Source organism: Homo sapiens, chromosome 12, assembly GCF_000001405.40.
Source record: "Homo sapiens chromosome 12, GRCh38.p14 Primary Assembly".
In the NCBI taxonomy this organism is placed as follows: Eukaryota; Metazoa; Chordata; class Mammalia; order Primates; family Hominidae; genus Homo; species Homo sapiens.
Genome location: NC_000012.12, coordinates 101,578,797 through 101,597,763, shown reverse-complemented (window position 1 = coordinate 101,597,763; position 18,967 = coordinate 101,578,797). Strand labels below are relative to the sequence as shown.

The following is an 18,967-nucleotide window of genomic DNA, read 5'->3' as shown; positions in this document are numbered from 1 at the left end:
TCTCCAAAGAATACATAATATACAATTGATGATGGTAGAAAGTAGAACAATGGGAAGTGGTTACTCCTTAAGAATAATACTTGCTTTCTCCAAAAGGGCTCACTGAGCCACCCAGCATATTCCAAGAGTCTAAACAAGGACCGTTGACTAATTACTTCCATTAGACTTCCTCTTCGAGATCCAAAGTTACATCTGTCCTTCCTCCTTCTCCTTAGAAGAACCAGCTCTCCCAAGATCTAAGAAGAAAACTCCCAGAATTAGGCCACGGTAGGCTGGGAAGTAGTTGAGTGAGACATTTTTTGTACCTTCAGGTGCTGAAAACTCAGCCTCTTTTGAGGAGTTGCCAGATCCTCCTGGATCCTAGGAGGGCCAAACCAGCTCATGTGTCCTATTAAGATTCACAGCAAGTGGTCATGGCCTTCCTGGGCATGGCTTTACGAGCTGTGGGGAAGAGTTCAGAAGACCCATATGGGCTGGAGGAGCCTGTTCTTTGGGAGGGTTTCTGCAGGTATTTTGAAATGATTCTGAAGAACTGGCTCTAGGCCATGTTTTATTTTTCAGAGGGAGGCTTATATGCAATCAAACTAACCCCAGTGAAAATGAAATCACAGTTAGGAGAAGAAGAAAGGACCAGAATAGTTCATGAATTGCCGTACTCCTTACTCTTCTAATGTAAACAATATTAAAATGCAATTATTTCACTAAGGAAAGCTTTTCAAGGTACAGTTCCTTTAAGAATCAGTTCTGCTGGTAAGGGAACCAAAAAAATCTCTGTACTTCCTCAATGGATTTTAAATATATCAGTAACTCTTCTTGCCCCAATCCCCATCATCCAAATTTACACTAACCAAAGAATTTATGGGTATAAAATTACTGTCCTGGGTGGAGGAACTCCTACACAGAATAGCAACATGCTTTTATAGCAAAAGAAGATGATGGAGTCTTTAGCATCCATGCTGTTTTATTCAGAAAGAAAAAAATATATATTGGGGGGGTGGGGGCTGAAGTTAAAGATATATTTTCCTCTTTGCAGCTCTATAATTTCATTCCCCATAAAAGAGTGAATCAGACTGAGTTGTCAAATGAAAAGTAAACTTCATCGCCTTTGCGATCAGAATAATTTAATTAGCTTTATTGGCTCTTACAGGCTGTCACCTTATTTATTGGTTTTTCAGCTTTCTTCTCATTTTCAATTAGGCTTTAAAAAAACAAATGCAAAATCATTCACTAAATTCAGAATAATTAAAACAATATTGTGTTTCCAGTTTGGAAACATGGTAGAATGTATTGCTTCTGGGTACACTTCGGAGAGGTTAAAGTGACAGAGCAGATAAAAAGGACACTTAGTACACACGTAAATCATTTGCATTACAAATAAGATACTTTAGCAGGGGTTGGACTCCCTGCCTGACAGTCAGGATTAAGTTCCCATATTAATACATGCATTTGGTGTGGTTATTTTGGGTGAAAGACTTCATCCATCAATGCCCTCTGCCACTAAGTAAGGCCAACCTGTAAACTGATCACCACAGCCTGTCAACACTGGTTACTTAATTATATAAAGAAAATATGTTTAAAAGACTTTTGATAATTTGGTTAGTATTTCAACATCTTTTTCAAGGTTCCTTAAAATAATAGCTAAAGCATTTTTAAGAATTAAAAACTGAAAACTATGACTATTTTTATGTTTCCTGCTAATCTTTCTTTTTCTTTTATTTGCAGAAGGGAAAAATAAAGATTCAGTAAGCATTAATGAAGATGAATATAAATGAAATAATATTTTTAAAAGATATTTTAATTAAAAATTAAATTCAATGCATGCATAGTATTAATTTGTGCTTATTATTATTTATTTTCATAACTACTAATTCCAATTTACTTCTGTTACCAATTGGTAGCTTTAATACACTAATTTTTTTATAGAAAGGAGAAACTTTGTTAGGGAAAACATTTCTTCTAAGGAAGAATATTTTTATACTTTCAGCTTAACTATTCTTAAAGCCTACTACATATTATGAAATTCTCTACAATAAAACTCATGAAAGAACAATCTATTCATGATATTCAGGGACATCCTTTTTTATCAGGTGTTTGGTTTTCTTTCCATGCAAGAATTTAATAACGAACCTCCAAAGGCACTGATAAGAACAAAAAAAACCCTTCGTCTGTATATTTTAAATATGTTTCCATTAAAAAAAGTAGCAAATATGGAAATAATGTCACAAATTCTTTTTTGAAATCTTGATCCAATGTATTAACCATTTGAGAAAATATTTTAAGTCTCCTACTCTCTGCAAATTGCAAATACATGGTAAAAAATTTGTGATTAAATCTAAGAAAATATGCTTGAAAACGTAATCTGTTTACCATCAGCAATTAACATCCTTAAATTACACTTTAAGGATTCTTTACAATTGAATGATAGAATTATCATTTGATAATTTTAGTCAATATCCCTTTAGAAACTATCGTTATCAGAAATTTTTCAATTCAATATACTCTCGCTGTATTTTTCCTCTGGTCTGTTTAATCTAAAAGATCGTTTCCTTAAATCATAGTGATTTTATTTTCTCATCTAGTTAAGATATTTGTTATTTGTTTGAAGATAAATACCAAAATAAACACTTTATTCAGGAGTACAACAAAAAGATTTCTAGATAAGTCTTACCCTCTTTCTTAGTGGGTTCTGGCATGGCCACAATAAGATGTTATTCTTTAAAGAGTCTCCTTCCCTCCACGACTAGTTGACAGAAACCCCACAGGCAGGCGAGAGATGGTGCAGGTCGGTGTGACAAGCAGTTGGGGAGAAACCCAGTGCTTTTATACTGCCTCTGAACATCAATCATGATGGCACCTCCCTTTCTTCAGCACAAGGATGCAGGAACTTGACAGCTATGGGGACCTTTCTCACATCTGTTGTCTGCACTCTGCTCTCTCGCCTACTGGAAGGAATCTCCTGCCCATCTCATGTGGCTGATGAGAACACCTCTAACTTTCTAAATTCAGCTGCAGCCTCGTGCTCCGTCTTGCTCTTCTCTCTCTGACAGATGCATGTGCTGACTCAGGAGTGCAAAAAGTTTGCTGGATGATTAAAAAAACAAATTAAAAATCATAATATGCCAATCCAACCTATACCTTAATTTTCACTAAGATTAGGCAGAAAAGTCTTTGTATTCAGATGATCACTTTTATGCTCCAATTAGCTTTTCATTTTCATCAGTCCTTAATTATTGCATTTATATTTTTTCTTATTCCTCATTGATATGTCAATATTAATTTTTCAAGCCAAATCTCTAGGTTAAATAACTTGTCTCATGTTCTTCTCTAAGAATAGCAAAGATTTCTATTAGGGGATACTCTGCGTTTGCATTTTTTTCCAAAAACATCATTTTTCAAAATTATAGGACATATAAAAGAATGAGGCAATGACACATGCTACAACGTGGATGAAGCTTGAGAACATTACACTAAGTGAAAGAAGTCAGTCAGACATACAAACGTAGACTATAAAATAATAGATCACTGCTGGGCTCATGCCTGCAATCCCAGCACTTTGGGAGGCTGAGGGGGGTGGATCTCCTGAGGTCAGGAGTTCGAGACCAGCCTGAACAACATAAAGAAACCCCGTCTCTACTAAAAATACAAAATTAGCTGGGCATGGTGGTGCATGCCTGTAATCCCAGCTACTCGGGAGGCTGAGACAGGAGAATCACTTGAACCCAGGAGGCGGAGGTTGTGGTGAGCCGAGATTGTACCATTGCACTCCAGCCTATGCAACAAGAGCGAAACTCCATCTCAAATTAATAATAATAATAATAAAAAATAATAGAACACACATTGTACAATTCCACTTATATGAAATATCTAGGACAGGCAAATCCATATGGTGAGAAAGTATATCAGTGTTTGCCAGTGGCCTAAGGGAGGTGGAATTGGGAGTGACTGCCAGTGCATATGGGGTTTCTTTTGGTCATGATGAAAATGTTCTGGCATTAGATAGTGGTGATGGTTGTACAACTTTGTGAATATATTAAAAACCACTGGATTATACACTTAAAAATATATATGGAGGCTGGGTGCAGTGCTGGGGCCTATAATCCCAGCATTTTGGGAGGCCAAGGTGGGAAGATCACTTGAAGCCAGGAGTTGGAGACCAGCCTGGGTAACAAACCAAGACCCTGTCTCTACAAAAAATAAAAATAAAATAAAAAGATATATATGGGGCCTGGGCAAAGAAAGTCAAATAGACTAGTAGCTATTGTTTTGATTCAAGTGATTCAATTGGAGGGTACACAAATCTAACTTAAGATGTTGAAAGACTGTAGTAGATGTGGTCACTTTCTCCCAAAACGCTCATGGAACTGATAGAGAAATAGGAACTACCAAGTAGTCAACCTGAAGAAGACACCTTACTTTCTTTGTTCACATGCACTAGGACTAACCTGAGTTTATATGAAAAGACAACTACACACATGCCTTTATTGGTGTGTGTTTTCAAGATAATTTTCAAAAACTTTGATTGATTGGTACTGAAGCAGCCACACTGTCTCGTCTAATTTCCCTTGTGGCTGAGAGTGCAGCTGGTCAGACTTAGCTCTACCAAACTCTGTGCCAAGCTGACTTTTCATATAAGGGTGGAAACTAGACTTAGAACTCAATAGCATCATGCTTTAGTTATGTGGCGGGGAGGGGGAGGAAGCCAGTCAAGATGGTAATGAACATCTTTTATAAAGACAGCCCCTCCTTAACCACATTATACTACTGAACACATTTTTGTACTTTAAAAAAAAAAAACGTTCCTTTGCTGAGTCCGCTCTGGGGATATCAATTAATAGATGAAACATATGAAAGAACCTAGAATCTGAAGTTGGTCCCTTGGGTTCTATTTCTGGATCTATCATTAACCAGCTTAGTTACTCTGAGAAAGTCAGGGGGCTTTCTGGGCCTCAGTTTCTTTTTGTGTAAAATGAGGGGCTTAAAAAAAATGATCTTGGAGGCTGCTGATAGGTTTAACACTGTGATTCTACTTGGGAAATCTCTAAGAGAGAATTGTTTTTTTCAGCATTCCCAGCACACTGAACACCACATATGAAATGGACATAGGGCAGAGTGTCATGTTGCATAAGAATGTTTACAGCGAAGGGCAGATTTCACACATGCCACAAAAGAGGTGCCATGCCATCATTGGCTTCTGCAGAAACCCCATTGGGTTTTTAATACACTGATCGTCTTACTGAAGTGAACATATGCCAGGAAATATTGCAATCCACAGAGAAAGTATTTTATGACCTGGGGAACTTTTTGGTAATAAAGGAATTAATTATAAAAAGGCAAAGCATTATTATAGGAATTGGAAGTATGGACAAATTCTAGGACAAATTATTGTACAGTGTATCAGGTGGTTAAGGTAAAATTTTAAATTAGGATAACAAGTAGACTTGTGTAATTTTCCTAGGGCTATATTGTTTTAGGAATACATAACTCCTATTTCAGATCTTATGCATTCATCTAGAAGGTTGCAGATGCCTTAGCTGTACTCTCAGGAAAGACAGGGGGATGGTCAACAGGCTTTTGTTTCTTTTGCTAAATGCTGTATTAGATTTTTCCTTTTGTATTATTGAGGATGAAGTTTGTTCAAATACAACACAAAACTACAAAATACCAACAGTTGAATCAAGATAGAAGTATTTCTCCCTCATATAAAGCAAGTCTAAAAGCAAATGGCTTAGAGTCATACAGTGGCTTCACAGTGTATCCAGGAAACCAGACTCCTCCTTCTTGCTCTACCATCCTCCTGGTAACCTCATGGTCCAAAATAGCTGTGTATCTTCTAGACACTACATTCCTATTCCAGGCAGCTGAAAAGAAGAAGAAGAAGAAGAAGAAGAAGAAGAAGAAGAAGAAGAAGAAGAAGAAGAAGGAGAAGGAGAAGGAGAAGGAGAAGGAGAAGGAGAAGGAGAAGGAGAAGGAGAAGGAGAAGGAGAAGGAGAAGAGGAAGAGGAAGAAGTCACTTTCTTCATTTTAAAGAGACTTGTTTGAAGTCCCACACACATCTACTACATCCCACAGGCCAGAACTTGGTTACATGGCTATATCTGACTACAAAAGGAGCTGGGAAATGTAGTCTTATTCTCAGGTAAAATTGGAATTCTGTTATTAAAGAGACCAAGGAGAATGGATGTCAGATAGGCAAGTATCAATCTCTCACCTTTCAAAATAAAAGCAATAGTGTTCTCCGCGTTAACCAAAGAATATGGAGAAGTATAAATAGTAAATAAGCAATCTCAAGAATTTCACTCTCTCCCCAACCTCATCCTCATTCCAGTGTGTGAATTAGGGTCTAATTTTCCTTTGTGCTCATACATACGTGTATAAATGTATATATTCATATGTAGAGAGTTCTTCATCTATTTTTTAATGAATGGGATTATACTATTTACATTATTTTCCACTTTCTTTTTCCATGTAACCTCCTCTCACAGACATTCATTCATGTTAATATACATAGACCTAACTCAATCTTTTTTAATAGCTAAATAATTGTTCATGGTATGGATGTGCTGTAGTATGCCATATTTTCTCAATCACATACCTTTTGATGGGCATTCAGGTTGTTTTCAGTGTTTGACCACCATAACTAATACTGCAATCAGCATCATGGTAAAATAACAGAAACTGGTGGTGGTATGTCTCTCTGGTAAGTTGGAGGCACATGGCGGGTGTGGATGGGTGGGGAATAAACAACTTTAAACCTCTAATTCACACAATAAAGAAGAGCAAATTATAGAAGAAATAAAGTTTTAAGTTAAAAAATTAAACAATAAAAATATTTGAAGAACAATTATGACAGTGTTTGAATAATACTCTCATAAGTGGAGACACGTGTTAAAGTAAGAAAATCTAGAAGCTATAGAGAAGGTAACAGATTTGAGTAAATAAAATATTAAAATTCTTTATCTCTAGCAAAGACACCATAAAATCAAAAAGTAAAAAAGGAAAGGAGAAAAAGTTATTTTAAACCCATCATAGAGTTAATATTATTAATTTAAAAGTAGAGTAGAAGATTTCAAAAAGCAATTTACAGAAGAAATAGAAACCATGAATACATACGATATATTGCTTAAACTTTCAGGAAAATGGAAACAAACAATGAGTAATCAGTTCTCACCCATTAAGTTGGCAACTTTTTGTTTTTTTAATGATAACATTCAGGGTATGAGAAACCCGGCAATCTTATACATTGCTGATCAAACTGTTGGCTAGGTAACCTTTTGGGAAAGTGGTCTAGCAAAAATTGATTAAAATTTAAACTATGTATATGCACCAGCCAATTAGTAGGATCGATTCTCACTTTTAAAATCAATCCTACTAATTTAAAAGTATCCATATATAAGATTATGGTTCCTTTTTATTCCTAATAAATATTTGTATTTTCTCCCTTTCCGTTGGTAAGTTTTTCCAAGGTATAACTAATTTTATTGGTGCTTTGAAAGAACTAGTTTATGGTTTAATTATGTTTTCTCTTCCTGATTTCTTTTGGTCAAGTTTTTTTTTTTTCTATATTAAGGATTTAGATTAGACCTTATTTTCAGCCTAGGGCTTTAGCTATACCACATAGATTTTGATTTAATGTTATCATATTTATAATTTCTGAATAATCTGCAATTTGGTTGTCATTTTCTTATTGATCTAGGAGTTATTTAAAAGGGCATTTTTTGGCTGGGTGCAGTGGCTCACACCTGCAATTCCCATTTTTGGACACAGAGACAAGTGGATCACTTGAGAACAGGAGTTCAAGACTAGCCTGGGCAATATAGTGAAATCCCATCTCCGCAAAAAATAAAAAAATTAGCTGAGCATGGTGGTGAGCACCTGTGATCCCAGTTACTTAGGAGGCTGAGGTGGGAGGATTGCTTAAGCCTGGGAGGTGGAGGCTGCAGTGAGCCTTGATGGCACCATTGCATTCCAGGCTGGGTGATAGAGTGAGACCCTGTCTCAAAAAAAAAAATTAAAATTAAAAAAATAAAAGATCATTTCTTAATTGCTAAGGAATTAAGATTTTTGGGAGTCACTCCGAACATATGCTGGTTAAGGGAACTGCCCTGAAAAAAAAATTTAAAAAAAGAAATTAAGATTTTCTTGTCGTTGTTTTCTTTTTTAAATTAGTTTTCTATTGAGTTTTTCAAAGATTATTAATACCTTTCAGCAATGTTTTGTAGTTTTCAGCGTCCAAGTCTTTTACCTCCTTGGTTAAATTTATTCCTAGGCTTTGTATTCTCTTGGATGCTATAGTAAATGGAATTGTTCTCTTAATTTCCTCATTGAGTTGTTCCTTGCTGTTGTATTAAAATGCAACTGATTTTTGTGTGTTTACCTTGCACCCCCAAACTTTCCTGAATTTGCTTTTTGGCTCAGGGTTGTGTGTGTGTATGCATGAGTGTGTGTGTGTGTATGCTTGAGTGTGTGTGTGTTCTTTGGAATTTTCTATGTGCATGATTATGTTGTCTGCAAATAGAGATAATTTTCAGCTTGGATGCCTTTATTTTGTTTTCTTGCCTAACTGCTCTGGGTAAGACCCACAGTGTAATGTTGAATAGCAATTGTGAAAGAAAGTATCTTCTCATTTCCCAGATTTTAAGGAAAAGGATTTCCACCTTTCATCATTGAGTATGATGTTAGCCATGAGTTTTTTAATAAATGCCCTTTATCATGTTGAGGAAGTTATTTTCTATTCCTAGTTTTCAGAGGGGTTTTTTAAAAAATCATGAAAAGGTGTCAGATTTTGTCAAATGCATTTTCTGCAATTATGCGTTTCTACATAGAATGAATTTCCCGTTCATTCTATGAATTTGGTGTAACATTGCTTGATTTTCTTATGTTGAGATACTCTTGTGTTTCTAGGATAAATCTTACTTGATCACGGGGTATAATCCTTTTAATATGCTATTGTATTCACTTCTCTAGCATTTTCTTGAGGATTTTTGCATCGATACTCACAAGGGATATTGGTCTCTAATTTTTTTTCTTGTAATGTCTTTGTTTGGCTTTGGTATCAGGATAATACTGGCTTCATAAAACTAATCAGGAAGTATTCCCTCCTCTTCTATTTTTTGGAAAAGCTTGAGAAGGATTGCTGTTAATTTTTCTTTAAGTGTTTAGTAGAATTCACCAGTGAAGCTCTCTGATTTTTTTGTTGTTGTTGGGAAGTGTTTGATTATTGATACCACCTCTTTACTTGTTATAGCTGTTCAAATTTCTATTTCTTCTTGAGTCTGTTTTGGTAATTTGAATATTTCTGGGAATTTTTACCTTTCCTCTAGGGTATCCTATTTGTTATATTTTTGTTCATAATATTCTCTTATAATCCTTTTTATTTCTATAAGGTCAGTAATGTCCCCACTTTCATTTCTGATTTTACTTATTTTCATCTTCTGTCTTATTCTTTGTTATTTTAGCTAAAGGTTTGTCAATTTTGCTGATCTTTTCAAAGAACCAACTTTTAGTTTTATTGACTATTGTTCTTCTATTCTCTATTTAATTTATCTCTGCACTAAACTTTATTATTTATTTCTGTGAGATTTGGATTGATTTTGCTTTTTTTTTTAGTTTCTTAAGATGTACAGTTATTAATTTGAGATCATTCTTTTTTAATGTAGGTGTTCATTGCTGTACATTTCCCCCTTAGCACTGCCTTCACCACATCTCATATAGTATGTTTTTTAGTTTTGGTATGTTGTATTTTTGCTTTCATTTATTTCTTAGTATTTTCTGATTTTCCTGATGATTTCTTCTTTGACCTTTTGGTTGTTTGAAAGCATGTGGTTTGATTTCCACATATTTGTGAATTTTCTAGTTTTCCTCCTGTTATTCATTTCTAGCTTTATTCCATTGTAGTCAGAGAAGATATGTATGATTTACATTTTTAGAAATTTACTGAGACTTGTTTTCTCACCTAACATATCATCTACCCTGAAGAGTGTTCAATGTGCACTGAGAAGAATGTGTATTCTGCTGTTGTTGAGTAGAGAATTCTATATATGTCTGTTAGGTCTAGTTGGTTTATCATGTTGTTCAAGTTCTCTGTTTTCTTCCTGATCTTCTGTCTAGATGTTTTATACATTATTGAAAGTGGGGTGTTGAAGACCCCAACTACTATTGTAGAGTGGTCTATTTCTCCCTTCAATCCTGTCAATGTTTGCTTTACGTATTTTGGGGAACTGTTGTTTGATGTGTATGTGTTTATAATTGTTATACATTTTTAATTGAGCCTTTTATTAACATATATTGTTATTTTTGTCTCGAAATAATTTTTTAGTTAAAATCTATTTTGTCTGATATTGGTGTGAATGCTGTACCTTTCTGACAATAAATAATATTCGACCATGAATGAATAAACTGGAAAAAATTATTTTCTGCCTCAAGGATACATTTTTTATTTTATTTTATTTTATTTTTATTTTTTTTAATTAATTAATTAATTTATTTTTTAAATTATACTTTAAGTTTTAGGGTACATGTGCACATTGTGCAGGTTAGTTACATATGTATACATGTGCCATGCTGGTGCACTGCACCCACTAACTCGTCATCTAGCATTAGGTATATCTCCCAATGCTATCCCTCCCCCCTCCCCCCTCCCCACCACAGTCCCCAGAGTGTGATATTCCCCTTCCTGTGTCCATGTGATCTCATTGTTCAATTCCCACCTATGAGTGAGAATATGCGGTGTTTGGTTTTTTGTTCTTGCGATAGTTTACTGAGAATGATGGTTTCCAATTTCATCCATGTCCCTACAAAGGACATGAACTCATCATTTTTTATGGCTGCATAGTATTCCATGGTGTATATGTGCCACATTTTCTTAATCCAGTCTATCATTGTTGGACATTTGGGTTGGTTCCAAGTCTTTGCTATTGTGAATAATGCCGCAATAAACATATGTGTGCATGTGTCTTTATAGCAGCATGATTTATAGTCATTTGGGTATATGCCCAGTAATGGGATGGCTGGGTCAAATGGTATTTCTAGTTCTAGATCCCTGAGAAATCGCCACACTGACTTCCACAATGGTTGAACTAGTTTACAGTCCCACCAACAGTGTAAAAGTGTTCCTATTTCTCCACATCCTCTCCAGCACCTGTTGTTTCCTGACTTTTTAATGATTGCCATTCTAACTGGTGTGAGATGATATCTCATAGTGGTTTTGATTTGCATTTCTCTGATGGCCAGTGATGATGAGCATTTTTTCATGTGTTTTTTGGCTGCATAAATGTCTTCTTTTGAGAAGTGTCTGTTCATGTCCCTCGCCCACTTTTTGATGGGGTTGTTTGTTTTTTTCTTGTAAATTTGTTTGAGTTCATTGTAGATTCTGGATATTAGCCCTTTGTCAGATGAGTAGGTTGCGAAAATTTTCTCCCATTCTGTAGGTTGCCTGTTCACTCTGATGGTAGTTTCTTTTGCTGTGAAGAAGCTCTTTAGTTTAATTAGATCCCATTTGTCAATTTTGGCTTTGGTTGCCATTGCTTTTGGTGTTTTGGACATGAAGTCCTTGCCCACGCCTATGTCCTGAATGGTAATGCCTAGGTTTTCTTCTAGGGTTTTTATGGTTTTAGGTCTAACGTTTAAATCTTTAATCCATCTTGAATTGATTAACAGAGATATAGATCAATGGAACAGAACAGAGCCCTCAGAAATAACGCCGCATACCTACAACTATCTGATCTTTGACAAACCTGAGAAAAACAAGCAATGGGGAAAGGATTCCCTATTTAGTAAATGGTGCTGGGAAAACTGGCTAGCCATATGTAGAAAGCTGAAACTGGATCCCTTCCTTACACCTTATACAAAATTCAAGGATACATTTCTAATAAAATATTATTTTGTGCTTAATAATGACTTATCGGTCAGTTTCATCTTTTAAGTTGCTTTAATGAATTGTGTACAAATAATACTCATATCAATAACTTAATTTCAAATACATTTAAAAATTACTTTAAATCCTTGTAGTCACAGAACAAAGTTTTTTAAAATTTTAATTTATTTATCTTTTGAGACAGACAAATATAAGGTGAAAAACTTTTTTAACTTTTAAGGCAAAAAATTATATTAAATAGAAGTAGAATCCTGTGAGTTAAGTGGAATGAAAATATTTGCTCAGGGAAAGAAGGAAATAATGTCAAAATCTCCAGTGGCCAAAGAGCTTATTTATATGTCTTTAATACATTAAGATGGGACATTAAAAATGTCATATCACTATGACATTTTTATTGCATAAGAGATATTTAAAATATATACAGTTTTATTTTGATTTTTAATATCAACTCTTACAGAATGTTGGAAATTACAGTCTTTGCAACTATTTAAACTTATGATAGAAAATTTTGAATATTAATTTGGAAATGTGTGAAAAATTACCCCCAAAATTTTAGAAGGTGTTATTATTCAGTTTGGGATGCCATAACAAAATACCATAGACTGGGAGGCTCAAACAACACAAATTTATTTTTCATAGTTCTGGAGGCTGGAAGTCTGAGATCAGGGTGCCAGCATGTTCGGGTTCTGGTGAAGGTCCACTTCCTGGCTTGTAGACCACTGCCTTCTCACTAAGTCCTCACAACAGTGGAGACAGGGAGCAAGCTCTCTGGTGTATCTTCCTAAAAGGGCATTAATCCCATCATGAGGGCCAGACCCTCATAACTTCTTAAACCTAATTACCTCCCAAAGGCCCCATCTCCAAATACCATCACATTGGAAGGTAGGGCTTCAACATACTAATTTGGGGAGGGAACATAGTTCAGTTCATAGCAGGAAATATGTGAACAAAATAGCTTAAGACTTCTGTTTAGATGACTGATATGATATGGCTGTGTCCCACTCCAATCTCAGCTGAATTGTAGTTCCCATAGTCCCCACATGTTGTGGGAGGGACCCAGTAGGAGGCAATTGAATCATGGGGACGGATCCTTACCGTGCTGTTCTCGTGACAGTGAATAAGTCTAACGAGATCTGATGGTTTTATAAAGGGGAGTTCCCTTACAAACCCTCTCTATGCCTGCTGCCATGTAAAATGTGACTTTGTTTCTCCTTTTCTTTCAGCTATGATTGTGAGGCCTCCCCAACCATGTGGAACTGTGAGTGCATTAAATCTCTTTCCTTTATAAGTTACCCAGTCTTGGGCATGTCTTTAGCAGCATGAGAAGAGACTAATCCAATGACCATTTGGAAGAAGATGGTGATCAGGAGGAAGGGGCTCCTGGATCTAAATAACAGTGAACAGATCCTGCCTGTCCCCTGCTGTCCCTCTCTTCATTTGCCTGGGCCCTTGCAGGAGACTTTCCCCAAGATTCAGCTCCTGGCTCTCTGCTGTCTGTGTACATCCTCTCCCTCAGTGAGCTAATCCCCTCTCACATTCTCAGCTATTACTGTGTGAATGACTCTTGGGACCCAACTCTGACCTTGATCCTGAACCTCAACTTCTGAACCTGAATAGTCTATATATTAAATATTAAAAGCTTAATCAGTTAGAAATACTAACAATCACTAAAATTGTTATATGTCCTTTCAGTTTTATCCTATGCATATTTTGTGGGGCTTTTTGAGTTTAAACTAAGTCATGAAAAGCAGAGATCTAGGAGCCAAAATAAAATTTGTCAAAATCCAAAACAAAGCAGATTGTCAAGTAATTTAAAATTTGAAGGATGACTCCATAGGATTATTACTCATGTTCTTAGGTCTACCAGTTCTCCCTCCCATGAATTGCCTCATTGTTCATGACACAAGAAATATCAAGTGGTGCAGGTGGTAAAGATTTGGTGAATTTGGCTGGGCACGGTGGCTCATGCTTACAATCCCAGCACTTTGGGAGGCTGAGGTGGACGGATCACCTGAGGTCAGGAGTTGGAGACCAGCCTGGCCAACATAGGCGAAACACCGTCTCCACTAAAAATATAAAAATTAGCCAGGCATGGTGGTGCACGCCTGTAATCCCAGCTACTTGGGAAGCTGAGGCACAAGAATTACTTGAACCCAGGAGGTGGAGATTGCAGTGAGCCGAGATTGTGCCACTGCACTCTGGCCTGGGTGACAGAGCGAGACTCCATCTCAAAAACAAAACAAAACAAAAAACAGAAATAAAGATTTGGTGAATTTGTGAATTTCAGCATGTTTGTGCTAAGTAATGGCTAAGTGAGTTCTCTCCCTCTCTCTGTGCAGGAGTGTGCATGTTTGTTTGTTGTTTTATGTTCATTTGGAGCTACCAGGACAATGGTATTTCTATCTACTGTGATATAAATTGATATTATGGATAATTGATCCTTAAATTCAGCACTTCAGTGAATGCATGGTAATAAAACTGAAATTGTTCCCCCAAATCCTTTATGAAAAGCCATTTTGTCTTTAAAACTTTTTTGCATGAAAAGTTCTAGGGCTCATCATTCTTGAAATGAAAAAGAAAGAAAACTGCCTTCTTGAAATTCCTTTGTGTAACTTAGAGTTTCATCTCACATCAAGTACAAGTTCATACTGGAAGACTTGCAGGCTATCAATAGAACTCTGCTCACCCCCCTTATTTTAAAGCTAAAGCATGCTAAGCCCTCTAAGCCTCTCCTCATAAGACATACCCTTCATCTCCCAAATTAGTCCTGGTGCCTTTGCTGGATCCCTTCCAAGACTCGGATGTTCTTTTAAGCTTTATGTCCTACCACACACCATGCAGTAGGCTACAAGGAGTGACATTTCCTTTGCTTTAAAATCTCCTTTAATTGATAGACCCTAACAAGTTTTGACCTTCATCATCTTCTACTCTTTGCTTATAGTGCTTACTGGAAAAACACAAAAATTTTCCTAATTCTGATGAATGTAAATCACATTACAACACATTTGTCTCCAGTAAGAAACCAAAAAGCAAAACAAAACAAAACACAAAAATCAAAGTACAGTGTAATTCAGAGGTCCCTGAGTTTGACTCATGATTTTCCACCTATGGGTCTTTGCTCCTATCATTGCTTACAGCTGAATAGCATTCCCTCGCATCATAGTGATTGCAAAGCTGATTCACTTTAGTAGAAGAAACTCAAAGGTGACTTTCTTCACAAAGTCTTCTCTGATGCTCTAGCTGAAAATAATCTCTGACTTCCCTGAAAACTTTATGTACCCTCCTTGTACATTAATTAGTCTTGTCTACCTTCTATTGTCTTTATGTGTACATATTATTGTTTAAAACAGAGGTCTCTACTTGGTAGCCTATGAGCTAAATCCAGTTTGCAAATAAGTTTTATCTGAACCACACACTTGTTTCACATAAAGATATGAAAATTATATAAAATATAAACTTCTGGTTTCTCCTGGCAATAATGAATTTGGATAGAAACAATAAGCTGGAACTCAATAGGGAACACCCTAGTTTGCTTCTTGGGCCCCTTCACTTGTTCATGTTAACTGCCTAGCCAGGTGAACAGTTGAATTTGCAATACCTAATCTAAACTATTATGTTCTTGAGCCAGGATCTTGTCTTAATCATCTTTATGGTTCATAGTTTATAGTAAACATAATTTGTAGCTGAAAAAATGTAAATGGGTTGAGAGTTTTTTAAGTGGCCTTGACGTTGTGTCGTTGGGAGCTGACCAATTCCTCCCTCTCTCCTATTCCATCATAACTTTGTTCAAAATGTATCAGTAAGTATCTGCTCACCTTCTGCTATGTGTTGAAAGTTTGGAGGTACAAAATAAGCAAGTGCAGCACCCTGCCCCTCCTCACAGGGGACTATTTGAGGCCATAAGAAATAAGCACATAAAATAATTTGTGAGCAAGATATCATTGTAATTGCAAGGCAGCCCAGCAAAGAGTTTTAAGAGATGAGATGCTGGATTCAGACAGACTTGGTTTATAATGCAGCCCTAAACCCAGAATCTTGTGATGTTGGGTAAATTATTTAATCTCTCTGAGCCTTAGTTTCTCCAACTTTTGCTAGTCCTCCTCTAAGATCTAGGTTAGGACAATAATCATATCTGCTCCACAGAAGCATAGGAGGATTAAATGAACTATATATGTGAAGTCCTTGGTACAGTGTCTGAACATGGTAAGTGTTCTACAGATGTGGGGAGATATTGTTGGCAGTCTAATGATCCAGAATTATGTATGGTACATACAGAAACATCTAATCAGTATACAAAATTCACCATGCTCCATCTTCCATCCAGTCTGTATTATCAAGCAGTTTGCTATTCTCTACTAAAAATGGCTCCTTAATATTCAGAGTTTACTCTATGTGTGATTGCTGGCTCTGTGTGGGTGTGAGGGAAAAGATCAGCTTCTCACCAGGAGTCCTTTTGCACCATGGACATGTAAAGGCCAGCCCTTGGTCTGCAGCTGCAGCTGCTATTTGTAGCCTGCACGATGAGATTCTGGGGCTCTGATTTATTTTCTGCCCTGTGCCTTTGTTTGAAAGACCCTAGGCCTGCCCAGCTGCCCTGGCTGTTGCTGCTGTCCCACAGTGCTCTTATTTTGCCTCATAGTTGAAGATGTGCTTCCTCCTCAGCTCTCTTCCAGAATATTCAGGGAAATCATCATCTTTATTTATGTATTATTTGCAAACTGTGCATCTGACAAAGGTCTAATATCCAGCATCTATAAGAAACTTAAAACAAATTTACAAGAGAAAAACATCCCCATTAAAAAGTAGGCAAAGGACATGAACAGATACTTTTCAAAAGAAGACATACATGCAGCCAACAAGCATATGAAAAAAGCTTAGCATCACTGATCATCAGAGAAATGCAAATTAATATCACAGTGAGATACCATCTCACACCAGTCAAAGGAGCTATCACTAAAAAGTCAAAAAATAACAGATGCTGGCGAGGTTGTAGAGAAAAGAGAACACTTACATACTGTTGTTAGGAGTGTAAATTCATTCAGCTATTGTGGAAAGCAGTATGGTGATTCCTCAAAGAGCTAAAAGCAGAACTACCATTCAACCCAGCAATCCCATTAGTGGGTATATACACAGAGGAATATAAATCATTCTACCATAAAGACACATACACATGAGTGTTTGTTGCAGCACTATTCACAATAGCAAAAACATGGAATCAACCTAAATGCCATTCAGTGATGAACTGGATAAAGAAAATGTGGTACATATATACCATAGAATAGAATACTATGCAGCCATAAAGAAGAAGAGATCATGTCTTTTGCAGCAACATGGATAGAGCTGAAGGCCATTATCCTTAGCACACTAACACAGAAACAGAAAACCAAATACTCATGTTCTCACTTATAAGTGAGAGCTAAATGATGAGAACTTATGAACACAAAGAAGGGAACAACAGGCCAGGCATGGTGGCTCATGCCTGTAATCCCAGCACTTTGGAAGGCCAAAGTGGGAGGATCACCTGAGGTCAGGAGTTTGAGACCAGCCTGGTCAACATGGTGAAGCCCGTCTCTACTGAAAATACAAAAAAATTAGCTGGGTGTGGTGGTGGGTGCCTGTAATCCCGGCTACCTGGGAGGCTGAGGCAAGAGAATCACTTGAACCTGGGAGGCAGGGGTTGCAATGAGCTGAGATCACACCATTGTACCCCACCCTGGGCAACAGAGCAAGACTCTATCTCAAAAAAAAAAAAAAAAAAAGAAGTGAACAACAGACACTGGGGTGGACTTGTGGGTAGGGGTGGGAGGAGGGAGAGGAGTAAAAAAGATAACTATTGGATACCAGGCTTAATACCTGGGTGATGAAATAATCTGTATACAACAAACCCCTGTGACACAAGTTTACCTATGTAACAAACCTTCACATGTACTGCTGAACCTAAGATAAAAGTTTAAATTTAAAAAAAAAATTGATTTTAGCCAGGCGCGGTAGCTTACGCCTGTAATCGCAGCACTTTAGGAGGCCAAGGCGGGCGGATCACAAGGTCAGGAGTTCGAGACGAGCCTGGCCAACATAGTGAAACCCCGTCTCTACTAAAAATACGAAAATATTAGCTTGGCGTGGTGGCACATGCCTGTAGTTCCAGCTACTTGGGAGTTGAGGCAAGAAAATCGCTTGAACCTGGGAGGCAGAGGTTGTGGGGAGCCAAGATCACGCCATTGCACTCCAGCCTGGGCAACAGAGTGAGACTCTGTCTCAAAAAAAATAAATAAATAAAATAAAATTGATTTTAACAGAATAAAAATAACTTTATTTATTTATTTATAGAGATGGGGGGGGTCTCACTATGTTGCCCAGACTGGTTTTGAACTCCTGGGCTCAAGTGATCTCTCTGCCTCGGCCTCCCAAAGTGCTGGGATTACAGCCATTAGCCACCATGTTTGGCTGATCACCATCATTTAGTAAACATTTACAGTGTCCCCGACATTCTGCTAAGCATTTTTCATGTATTACGTTATTTAATATTCATAAAACACTGTGAGATGGATACCATTGTTATCCTCATTTTAAGATGAGGAAACTGAGGTCCAAGGAGGTTAAATAATTTTCCAAAGCTCACACAGTCAGTAAGAGATAGAGCCAGTATTTGAAAACAGGTATGTTTTCCTGAATCCATGGCCTTAACAATTAAACTATACTTCCTCAAATAAACCTAGGTGAACATCTTTCCTTTGAAAACATATTTCTTCCCACCTGAGTTGTTTATTGCTCTCTTAGCACGACGAAAAATGTGACAAAGGTTTCCCCCTAGATCTCCGTAGCGGCTGCCTGCAACAATACTTTAAGGATTCTGAATCATATTTGGGCTAAGGAAAACGTAGTGATCAATTAGCAAAGGCTGCAGTGGGCTTTCGGAGTATAAATCTATTGATTACGGAGGGGAAGGGACCACAAGTAAGAGTCTTAGAATTTTAATTTTCAAAGATGTATCAATAGAATGATTTTATGAGTTAGGACCACAAGTATGAAGAAGTCATAGGTGTCATTTAAGATATTCCTGAAAGTTATATTGTCCTTAGTGTTCATCAAGCAAAA

At 36.8% G+C, this 18,967-nt stretch overlaps 1 protein-coding gene across 31 annotated transcripts in view, besides 1 other annotated feature; it reads right to left on the bottom strand.

Annotated features, from left to right (window-relative positions):
- MYBPC1 (myosin binding protein C1) overlaps window positions 1-2,793 on the bottom strand; it is a 100,871-nt gene extending 98,078 nt beyond the window's left edge. For all 31 annotated transcript variants that reach the window (XM_017019316.2, XM_006719406.5, XM_006719410.5 and 28 more), the window contains exon 1: window positions 2,669-2,793. In XM_017019316.2, the coding sequence (XP_016874805.1) occupies window positions 2,669-2,693 (25 nt within the window). In that variant the 5' untranslated portion in view covers window positions 2,694-2,793. The remainder of the gene's footprint in view (window positions 1-2,668) is intronic.
- Window positions 16,064-16,591: an enhancer, noted in NCBI's record as "OCT4-NANOG hESC enhancer chr12:101974951-101975478 (GRCh37/hg19 assembly coordinates)". NCBI's record gives its function as "activates a minimal SCP1, AML or CMV promoter by ChIP-STARR-seq in primed H9 embryonic stem cells {active_cell/tissue: H9 hESC(primed)}" and the evidence as "EXISTENCE:reporter gene assay evidence [ECO:0000049][PMID:30033119]".